This window comes from Homo sapiens, chromosome 19, assembly GCF_000001405.40.
Source record: "Homo sapiens chromosome 19, GRCh38.p14 Primary Assembly".
In the NCBI taxonomy this organism is placed as follows: Eukaryota; Metazoa; Chordata; class Mammalia; order Primates; family Hominidae; genus Homo; species Homo sapiens.
Window position 1 is genome coordinate 3,469,258 of NC_000019.10, and position 11,415 is coordinate 3,480,672.

An 11,415-nucleotide genomic window follows, 5' to 3' on the forward strand; every position below is an offset into this window, starting at 1 on the left:
TTGCTCTGTGTCCTTTGGAAAAGTGAGGGGCAGAGGCTGCAGGGAGCTGGGGGGAACCCCCAAGCCCCGTGGATGGGCAGGCTGGGATTCTGAAAGCTTCAGATCAAGTGTCCCCTGGGGGCATTAGACAATATCTGGGGACATTTGTGGTTGCCACGACTGGGGGATGCTCCTGGCGTGGAGTGGGTGGAAGCCAGAGACACTGCTCAGCATTCTGCAGTGCCCAGAACCAAGATTCATCCACACAAGACATCCACAGTGCCTGGCACGGAGAGACCTGCTTTGATTGTTTGGAGGGGAAAAAAATCAGATTTGCTCCCTGCTCACAGTAGACACCAGGGTAAGCTCCCGATGGGGTGGATGACAGAAACCAGGGAGACCTGCAGCTCCTAGGATTCTCCTCCTCGCCCCCTCCCCACTCAGGGTGGGATTCCAATGTGTGCAGCCTCCTAGGACCTCAGCAGGGTGGAGGATCATGGGACGCAGTCTACTGGGGGGTCCATGAAATCCCCTAACCCAGGGAGTCTCACCCAAGGGCGATCCTGCCCCCCAGAGGACACTGGGTGATGTCTCAGACATCCGCGGTTGTCACGACTGGGAAGTGCTCCTGGCATGGAGTGGGTAGAGGCCAGGGACGCCGCTCAGCACCCTGCAGTGCCCAGGACGGCCCCACCCCAGAGACTGATCCACAGTGCCTGGGGGTGGGGGAGACCCACTTTAGATGGTGGCTTTGAATGAGCTTCTGAGGCCAGACCTGTCCCAGCAACGCTCCTGGAGGCTGTAACCTCTTCCCCTTTGTAGGATGGGCTGTTTCACACCCCTTAGCCTTTGCTCATTCCTGCCTCCCCATCTGTGCAGACCTTTCACACTGGTGTCCTCTTCCACCAGGAAGTCTTCCCACCTTTCTCCAGCCTGGTTCCCTCCCCCAGCAGTCTCAGAGCTATCGGTGAATTCCATGAGGCATCTACGGAGCACCCACTCTGTGCCAGGCACAGGGGATTCCATCCCTTCCCTTGTGCCTTGGAGGAATCCAAGCCTGGCACACAGTCGGTGCTCAATAAATGCACAAAATAGCTTCTCTTGCTACCTGGCAAACTCCCAGTCATTGAGCAAAGACTTCCTGAGCATCTCCTGAGTACCAAGCCCCAGGACCCAGCAGTGAACAAAACACTCAAATTCAGATCCCGTCTTGGAGCCTACAGCTTCCTCCAGGTCAGGAAGAACAGTGAACAACAAGTAGAAGTGGCCGGGTGCAGCGACTCACACCTGTAATCCCAGCAATTTGGGAGGCCAAGGCAGGAGGATCGCTTGAGTCAAAGAGTTCAGGACCAGCCTGGGCAACATAGAACCCATCTCTACAGATACACTTAAAAAGTTAGCTGCGCGTGGTGACACACCTGTAGTCTCAGGAGGCTGAGATAGGAGGATTGTTTGATCCCTGGAGGTTGAGGCTGCAGTGAGCTGTGATTGCACCATTGCTGTCCAGCCTGGAGTGCAACAGAGCAAGACCCTGTCTCCAATCAATCAGTCGATAAAATAGAAGTAAAAGATGTCAGAGGAGGTAAGTGATGAGTAGGGCAATGAACAGAGGAAGGGCGGGGAGTGGTCCCATCTAGACAGATCTGGAGGGAGGGAGGGAAGGAGCGTCCTGAAATTCTGGCAGAAGTCACAGCTCCTGCAAAGGCCCGAGGGCGGGACCATGCCTGCTTCATTGGAGGAACAGTGAGGAGGCCTGTGTGGCTGGAGCAGAGTGAGGAGAGGGATGGAGGGAGGACTGGAGGGCAGGGAAGGGACGGGGCAGGTCATTCAGGGCCTTGTGGGCCACAGGGAAAATGTTGACTTTTCCCCTGAAGGAGGTGGGAGCCATGGAGGGCTGGGGGCAGAAGGATGGGCCCCAACATGGTTTCAATACACCCTCGGCCAGGAAGCCTTCCTCACCTGCCCCAGCAGAGCTTCTGCCCCCAATCACTCCTGACCCAGCCCTGACCATTCAGGGGCATGACCGTGTCCAGCTCTGTCCCCTCCAGACTGGGGGCCCCTCCCACACTGAGGTCAGAGGGGAGGGAGGCTGGGGCCCGGGAGAATCAGGAGTGTGAAAGGGGCTGGGTGCAGTGGCTCATGCCTGCAGTCCCAGCACTTTGAGAGGTGGGAGGATCACTTGAGGTCAGGAGTTTGAGACCAGCCTGGACAACATGGTGAAACCCTGTCTCTACTAAAAATACAAAAATTAGCCGGGTGTGGTGGTGCGCCCCTGTAATCCCAGCTACTCAGGAAGCTGAGGTGGGAGAATTGCTTGAACCCGGGAGGTAAAGACCGCACCACTGCACTCCAGCCTGGGCAATGGAGCAAGACCCTATCTCAAAAAAAAAAAAAAAAAAATAGCCAGGCATGGTAGTGCATTCCTGTAGTCCTAGCTACTTGGGAGGCAGAGGTGGGAAGATCCCTCGAGCCTGATAGGTAGAGGCTGCAGTGAGCCAAGATCACGCCACTGCACTCCAGCCTGGGCGACAGAGCAAGACCCTGTCTCAAAAAAACAAAAACAAAAAAAGAGTAAGGCTAGTTCTTGGGGGGGCTGAGATGGGGCCCTCCATCCTGTCCCCAACTCCAAAACCCCAAAAGACCCCAGGTTGGGCCAGAAAAACTCTCTTTGCACCATGGGCTCCTTCCATCCTACCCACAAGACCACAAGGCGGGGACGATCCTTTTTTGCAAATGGGGAAACTGAGGCACAAAGAAGCGAGGTAAGGTGCATTGACAGGGCAGCAGGCACAGTGCGTCCTCGCTGACACGACCCCACGCTGCTTCCTGGTGACAGGCACCGAGGACACCGAGGATGGGGGGGTCCGAGGCCCCTTCCCACGTCCCACTCCCAACTTGGGTCGCCCCCACTCACCCTCAGCAGCGAGATTTTGGCGCCCCCTTGTGGGCAGGCCGGGGACACCCCCCCAACCTCCCCCATCCCAGTTCCTCTCTGCAGCGGGAAACGGGGGCTCCAGTCAGGCCAGAGGAGGCTTCTTGTAGAGCAGGGGTTGAGCCAAGGTCAGGGGGTCTCAGCTGGAGTCAGGGGATCAGCCAGGGCTGGGGTGGAAACTCAGCGGTGGAAACTTAGCCTCCCCTTGGATCTTACGGAAAGCCTCGGTCGTGTCCAGCCCTTGGCCCCTGGGTGATGAGATTCCTGGCTGGGAGGGGAGGGCTGTCCCAGTAATGCAGGCTGTTGGGTTGGTCACCCCTGACTCCCCACCCTAAAACGGGGGAAGGCTTGTGACAACCCAAAATGCCCCCGCAAAAAAATTCCAAATGCGGCCGAGTGCAGTGGCTCATGCCTGTAATCCCAGCAATTTGGGATACCAGAGATGGGAGGATTGCTTGAGGTCAGGAGTTAGAGACCAGCCTGGGTAATACAGCGAGACCCTAGCTCTATCAAAAAATAAACATAAAATTAGCTGGGCACGGTGGCTCACAACTCTAATCCCAGCACTTTTGGAGGCCAAGGAGGGTGGATTGCTTGAGCCTGGGAGTTCGAGACCAGCCTGGGCAACACGGCGAAACCCCGTCTCTACTAAGAACGTATAAATTAGCCAGGTGTGGTGGCAGGCGCCTGTAATCCCAGCTACTCAGGAGGCTGAGGCATGAGAATTGCTTGAACCTGGGAGGTGGAGATTGCAGTCAGGTGGGATCGTGCCACTGCACTCCAGCCTGGGCGACAGAGGGAGACTCCACCTCAAAAATAAAATTTTAAAAATAGCTGAGTGTGGTGATATGTGCCTGTGGTCCCAGCTGCTCAGGAGGCTGAGGCAGCAGGACCGCTTGAGCCCGGGAGGTCAAGGCTGCAATGAGCTATGATGGAATCACTGCACTCCAGCCTGGGCAATAGAGCAAGACCCTGTCTCTACAAAATATTTAATTTTTTTTTAGATTTCCAAACGCCCCCTAGTGGAGAAGTCCTGCCCCCTGCACTCCAGCCTGGGAAACAGAGTGAGACCTTGTCTCAAAAAATAATAACCATCCTGGCTAATACGGTGAAACGCCATCTCTACTAAAAAATACCCAAAAAATTAGCCGGAAGTGGTGGTGGGTGCCTGTAATCCCAGCTACTCGGGAGGCTGAGGCAGGAGAATCGCTTGAACTGGAAGGTGGAGGTTGCGGTGAGCCAATATCGGGCCCTTGCACTCCAGCCTGGGCAACAAGAGCAAAACTCCATCTCAAAAAAAAAAAAAAAGAAAAAAGAAAAAAAGAGAAAGAAAGAAAGAAAGAAAAGAAGAAAAGAAAAGGGCCAGGAGCAGGGACTCACACCTGTAATCCCAGCACTTTGGGAGGCCTAGGCAGGCGGATCAACTGAGGTCAGGAGTTCGAGACCAGCCTGGCCAACATGGTGAAACCCCGTCTCTACTAAAAATGCAAAAATTAGCCAGGCATGGTGGTGCATGCCTGTAATCCCAGCTACTCGGGAGGCTGAGGCAGGAGAATCACTTGAACCCAGGAGGCAGAGATTGCACCACTGCACTCCAGCCTGGGTGACAGAGTGATTGCACCACTGCACTCCAGCCTGGGCGACAGAGTGAGACTTTGTCTAAAGAAAAAAAAAGAAAAGAAAAAGGTCCTCATTAAGAAATGGTCATTGTGGCCAGGCTGAGGCTGGAGAACTGATTGAACCTGGAAGGCAGAGGCTGCAGTGAACCAAGATCACAGCATTGCATTCCAGCCTGGGTGACAGAGCGAGACTCCATCTCAAATAAAAGAGAAATGGTCATTGTTCAGGGTAAGGTCCAGGGCCTGGAGAAGGTGAGGGGAAGCAGGAGAACAGAAACTGGGAAAAGGAAGTGCTAGTCCCTTTCCAAGATATTGCAGGGCCCTGGGGCACCCCCACCCTCCAAGATACAGCTCCCAGGAAAAAAGTCACGTGCCCCAAAACAAAGTGAGGTGGGGGAAGGAGCAAAGATTTGCTTGGAGACGGCGCTCAGGGCTCAAAGTCCAGGGCTCAGGACAGCAAAAAACCAGATTGCCGGGGGAGTGTTTAATCTGCTCAGGGCGTCTGGGCACCTGTGCACCCTGAGCCTCCATATCATCCGCCCAGCCATCGCCCGCAGCCCCAAAAGCAGCCTCCTTCCCCAGAGGTAAACTGAGTCCCAAGAGATGACAGGAGCCCTTCCAAAGGGCTGTTACGAATGCTTTAATGCAGGCCATTGGGAAGCAGCTCTCAGCTGGCAGTGGGTGCATGGGAGAGGGGAAGTTCTGTTCAGTAGACATCAGGCAGAGAGAAAAGAAATCAGGCAGTGGGGAGAAGCAGGTGGAGCCATGAGATCGTGGAGGATTGCGGGTGTCTCCTCAACCAGGGATGCTCTCCGAGTATAAGAAGAATCACCAGGCAGGGACCAAGCTCAGGAAGAGGGGTGCATGAAAACCATGTTTGCCCAGAGAGCCCCCAATGAGGGAGGTGGGGTGGGTTCCAAGCCTTCTTCACTTGAGAACACTGTATTCTGAATCCCAGATGGAGTCATTTCACGGGCTTCAAGTCCAGGGCACTGCTTTTAGGGGGCAGAAGAGGCATCTCTGGGGGACTGCCTGGAAGAGGCAGCCAGGAATCTTCACATGACTGTGCTCTTTGCTCTCTCATGGTCTCCGGGCTCTTTTTCCTCCAGATCCAGTCCCAAGTTGCTCTCTCCTTCCTTTGCTGTCTTTTTCTCCTTCTTCCTCTTCTCTTCTTTCTCCTTGGCCTCTTTCTTCTCTCTCTTGTCTTCACTGTAGGGATACAAAGGCCCCAAACCATAATAAGAAACAGAGACACTCCTATTTAATGGCCACTCACTTGAGCCAGCCCATGTGATGAGTATTTTACAAGCGGTATCTCAGTGAATCTTCAAAATAACCCTAACTACGCGGCCTCACGATTTCCATTTCACAAAGACAGCAACTAAGACTCAATTGCTCCATGGAGGGATGGATGGGTGGATGGATGGATGGACATAAGCCAAAGGCTCCCTGTTGCCTCTTGGGACTCAGTTTACTCCTGGCAAAGGAGGCTGCTTTTGAGGCTGGGTGCAGTGGCTGGACAGATGATATGGAGGTTCACACTGCATATCATCATTGCAACTAAGACTCAACTGCTCCATGGATGGATGGATAGGTGGGTAGGTGTGTAAAGAAGTTAGGGAATAGATGGGTAGATGAGTGGACAGGTGGGTGGATAGTGGGTGGGTGGATGGATGATGGATGGGGGTATGGATGACTGGATGAACGGGTGGATGGCTAGGTGGGTGAGTGGTTGGAAGGATGGATGGATGGGTGGGTGGGTGGATAGATGGATGATGAATGGATGAGTAGACAGATGAATGGGTGGGTGGGTGGATGGGTGAGTGGATAGTTGAGTGGGTGGACGGATGGTAGGTGGATAGGTGATGGATGGATGGTGGGTGAATTGATGGGTGGGTGGGTGGATAAGTGAATGGGTGGATGAATGGATGGATGAGTGGGTGGATGAATTAATGAATGGGTGGGTGAACAGATGGGTGACTGAGTTGGCGAATGAATGGATGAGTGAGTGTGTGGGTGGGCGGATGATGGCTGGGTGATTGATGGATGGTGGATGGAAGGATGATAGATGGATGGGTGGATGGATGAATGAATGGGTTGGTGGATGAATGGATGGATGGGTGGGTGGATGGATGAGTAGATAAGTAGTTACATGAATGGACTGCTGCATGGAGGTTGAATAAATGAATTGGAAGATAAATGAATACATTGCAGGAAGGAGAGACTGATGGATCAGTGGATGGGGGTATGCAGAATGGAGAATGGGTGGATGGGAGTATAGATGGATGTATAGATCAATGAATGAATGTATAGGTGGATGGATGGATGAGTAGATAAGCAGTTGGGTGAATTGATGGTTGCATGGAGGGAGGGACAGATTAATAAGTAGATGAATGGATGAATTGGAGGAAGAAGAGAATGACATACCAATGGATAGGTAGATGGAGGATGAATGAGACTGTAGGTGGGTGGATGGATCAATGAGCTAATGGATAGATAGACTGATGGATGGACAGTTGGAGAGTGAAGACTGCATAGTTCGATGGACGCATAGGTGGGTGGGTGCGTGTATCAGTGAGTGGACAGATCAATGGGCTAATGGGTAGGTGGACTGATGGATGGGTGGTTGGAGGGTGAGGACTGCACGGGCAGACTGATAGATGGATGTACAAGTGGATGGTTGGGTGGATGGATGGAGGATTGAACAAGGCAGAAAGGAAGCTACAGGTACAGGTGCACAGGTGGGATCCAGATCCCCCAGTACATCCTGGGAGTAGGAATCATATTTTACTGGGGCTGAGCCAGGTCTTAGACAAAGCCACCACTCAGGTCCTCTCCCTCAGGCACATCTTGGACTCAGCTGAGACTCTCCCAGCCAGGCTGGTCACCTCCCAGCTCCCACTCTCCTACTCCTGTCCCCAAGCCTTTGCCCAAGACAGAGCCCCCAGCCCTGGATGGATGGATGGATGGATGGATGGAAGGATGGATGGATGGATAAATGGGTAGGTGGATGGATGGCTGTGTGGGTGGATGAATGAGTGAATAGATGGGTGATGGATGGATAGGTGATGGATGGATGGATGGATGGATGGATGGGTGGATGGGTGGGTGGGTGGATGGATGATGGATTGATGGGTGGATGAATAGATGGGTGGGTGGATGGATGGTGAATGGATGGCTGATGGATAGATGGGTGGGTAGATGGATGGGTGTGTGAACAGATGAGTGGGTGGGTGGATGGGTGAGTGGGTGGATGGATTGGTGAATGGATAGGTCGGGGGGTGGGTGAGTGAATAGATGGGTGATGGATGGATGGATGGATGGATGGATGGATGGATCATGGATGGTCGGTGGATGGATGGTGGGTGGGTGGATGGGTAGGTGATGAATGGATGGGGGTGGGTGATGGATGGATGAGTGATGAATGGATGGGTGAGTGGGTGGACGGGTTGGTGAATGGATGGGTTGGGGGATGGGTGAGTGGATGGATGGATGGATGGATGGATGGATGGATGGATGATAGACAGATGGTGGGTGGATGGATGGTGGGTGGGTGGATGGGTAGGTGATGGGTGGATGGGTGATGAATGGATGGGGGGTGATGAATGGATGGGTGAGTGGGTGGATAAGTGGTAGGTGAATAGATGGGTGGGTGGGCAGCTGGGTGAGTGAACAGATGGGTGATGAATGGATGATGGATGGATGGATGATGGATGGATGGATGGTGGGTGATGGATGGATGGGTGAGTGGGTAGATGGGTGAGTGGGTGGATGGGTGAGTGGGTGAATGGGTGATGGATGGGTGAGTGGGTGGATGGGTGAGTGGGTGGATAGGTGAGTGGGTGAATGGGTGAGTGGGTGGATGGGTGAGTGGGTGGATGGGTGGGTGATGGATGGATGGATGGTGGGTGATGGATGGATGGTGGGTGATGGATGGATGGGTGAGTGGGTGAATGGGTGAGTGGGTGGATGGGTGAGTGGGTGAATGGGTGAGTGGGTGGATGAGTGGATGATGGATGGATGGATGGTGGGTGAGTGGGTGAATGGGTGAGTGGATGAATGGGTGAGTGGGTGGATGAGTGGGTGATGGGTGGATGGAAGATGGAGGTCTGCATCCCTGAGTCCTCTGTGGGAATCCTCAGGTTGGGAGGCAGTCAGAGCCATAGGAGGCACTGAGTCCAGGTGGGTCGCCCATACCTAGGCCTTGTACAGACACCTACACAATCCTACACCACAGTCTTCTTCAACAGGTATTTATTAAGCACCTCCTGTGTTCCAGGCCCAATGCTGGGTATGAGGACACAGCCAGGACAAAAGCTAAGTTGCCTACACAACTGGAAGGCACCACGTAATGTCTCAAAATTAGTGAACAACTAAGACAGCTCCACTGGTGATAAGCATGAATCAGACTTGGGGCTGGGGACAGTGTCAGGAAGGCTGGTGGCCAGGCTGGAAACCCCTGACTAGGGACTGGAGGAGGAGAAGGAGCTGCCAGAAGATACAGGAAAGGTGAAGATCCCAGGGCAGGAATGTGTTTGAAGGATTCAGGACAGCAAGGTCATCTGCGCACACCCATTCCCCCACCCCGAGGAGGGGTTCACACAGACCCCCAGCATCCGCACGCATAGTACCTCTGGTCCTGGTATAGGTTGGACTCCATTCTGAACGTGGTCTCCTCCTCGTCCTCAGCCCTGCAGAGATAAAGGGAAAGGTGGAAGGGGGCGGGAGAGGAGAAAGGGGGCGGTAAAGGGAAGGAAGCGGTGTGACAGCCTCAGCCTCTGTCCCAACCTCCCAGCCGGGGCTCATGAACCCCAGGACGCAAGGAAGGGCTGGGCTGCCTGGCTCGTTGTCTTGGGGAGACGGGCGGGTGCAAGCCCGGGATCTGGGCTCTGAGAGTAGAGGTTGGAGGAGCAGCAGGGAAATGGGAGACCTTCGGACTTTGAGGCTGGTGATGGGGGTACCAGAGAGGGTTGGGAAGCTGGGGGTGGGGGCAGGGCTGTGGGGGCAGCGGGGTGGGGGCGGGCACCCACCTGGCCTTGGAACACCAGAGGCGGTTGGCCAGCAAGACCAAATAGACGATGAACAGGAAGCCGACTACCGCAGCCAGGCCCACCAGCCACGGCTTCAGGCGATGCTCCGTGGCTGCAGGAAGTTGGGGAGGTTCGACTCAGAGGAAGAAAAGGTCAGAAGACCCCCTTCCCCCACCACCCTAGCAAGGAGAGAGAGAAGGTCACTGGGGGTGCTCCGACAGAGGGGGTATTGGAAAGGGACGGAGCTTCAGAGACCTGGATGGCGTAGGGGGGTCGGGAGGGTTTAGAGAGGGGGAGGGTACCTTACCAGAGTGGGAGGGAGCCTGGGGGCCCAGAGAGGGGAGGGGCTTATAAAAGAAGGGGGGCTTAGAGGGGACGGAGTTTACAAATCAGGAGGGCTCAGAAGGGGCGGGGCTTATAATGCAGGCAGAGGCTCAGGGGGAGGGGCTTATAAAGGCGGACCTCAGAAGGGCGGGGCTTATGACAAAGGAGTGGCTCAGGGGTGGGGTTTATAAAGGAGAACAAGCTCAGGGGAGGGGCTTATGAAGGAGGAGGTGGCTCAGATGGGGAGGGCTTATAAAGAAGAGTCTGGGGGGTTGGGGCTTACAACAGAGGAGCTGTTGGGGGGAGCTTATAAAAGGAGGCAGAGGCTTAGAGGGAGGGGCTTATAAAGGAGGAGCTCAGAGGGGAGGTGCTTATAAGGGGAGAGGGTCTCAGAGTGGGAGGGGCTTATAAAGGCGGCAGAGGCTCAGGAGGAGGGGCTTATAAAGAAGGAGGAGCTCAGAGGGGAGGGGCTTACAACAGACGAGGGGCTCAGGGAGGGGTCTATAAAGGATGAGTGAGAAGGAGGGGCTTACAGAGGAGGAAGAGGCTCAGATGGGGAGGGGCTTGTGAACTAGGGGGCTCAGAGTGGGAGGGGCTTGTAGAGGAGGCAGAGGCTCAGGGGGAGGGGCTTATAAAGAAGGAGGAGCTCAGAGGGGAGGGGCTTACAGAGGAGGAGGGACTCGGGGAGGGGTTTATAAAGGAGGGAGAGTGAGAAGGAGGTGCTTACAAAGGAGGAAGGGGCTCGGATGGGGAGAGGCTTGTGAACTAGGGGGCTCAGAGGGAGAGGGGCTTATAGAGGAGGCAGAGGCTCAGGGGGAGGGGCTTATAAAGAAGGAGGAGCCCAGAGGGGAGGGGCTTACAGAGGAGGAGGGGCTCGGGGAGGGGTTTATAAAGGAGGAGGAGTGAGAAGGAGCGGTTCACAAAAGAGGCGGGGACTCAGATGGGGAGGGGCTTGTAAAGGAGGCCCGAGCTCAGAGTGGGGCCGAGCTCAAGGCGGGGGGTTCAGCCAGGTGTGCTCAGAAGGGCTGGAGAGGGGAAAGGCTCGGGTGGGCGGTGGGGGGTCCCTTACAGAGGAGGGCAGAGCCCAGCGAGAGGGAGGCCGGGCGGTACTGCGGGGGTTGAGAAGGGCCTCCAAGCCACTCTTCCTTTTCTTCCTGCCCCCTCTCCTTTTTCTCGCCATGGAAAATTGGGAGATGGTGATCACCTGACCAACTCCCCTATCCCGCGACGCCCCCTCCCGCCCCCCTGCACCTACCCTGCTGGGCCTCCACCGGGGAGAGGAGCAGAAACTCCAGCACCAGAAGGGCCCCCAGGGTCTCCATGACGGTCGAGTGAGCCAGCAGCCAGCCAGCGGCGGTCCCGGGTCGGCGTCCACAGGTTTGGTGTGGGCGAGGCCCTGCCTCCCCGTGATAAGGCACAGGCGGTCCCCGGGCGGGGGATGCCTGAGACCTGGGAGCGGGGCCCGCCCCTGGCACCACCTGATTGGGCATCCTGCCCCTCCCCTGCCAGCTCCTGCCCCATCGCTCTCCCT

The 11,415-nt window shown here is 55.4% G+C and overlaps 1 protein-coding gene across 1 annotated transcript; it reads right to left on the bottom strand.

Annotated features, from left to right (window-relative positions):
* Nucleotides 4,729–11,268, bottom strand: SMIM24 (small integral membrane protein 24). Its single transcript, NM_001136503.2, has 4 exons — nt 11,140–11,268; nt 9,561–9,672; nt 9,162–9,221; nt 4,729–5,739 (listed from the first exon to the last, which is right to left on the bottom strand). The coding sequence occupies exons 1-4, from the start codon at nt 11,204–11,206 to the stop codon at nt 5,586–5,588; spliced, it is 393 nt and encodes a 130-aa protein (NP_001129975.1). The 5' UTR covers nt 11,207–11,268; the 3' UTR covers nt 4,729–5,585.
* Nucleotides 11,269–11,415: the final 147 nt, after the last annotated feature.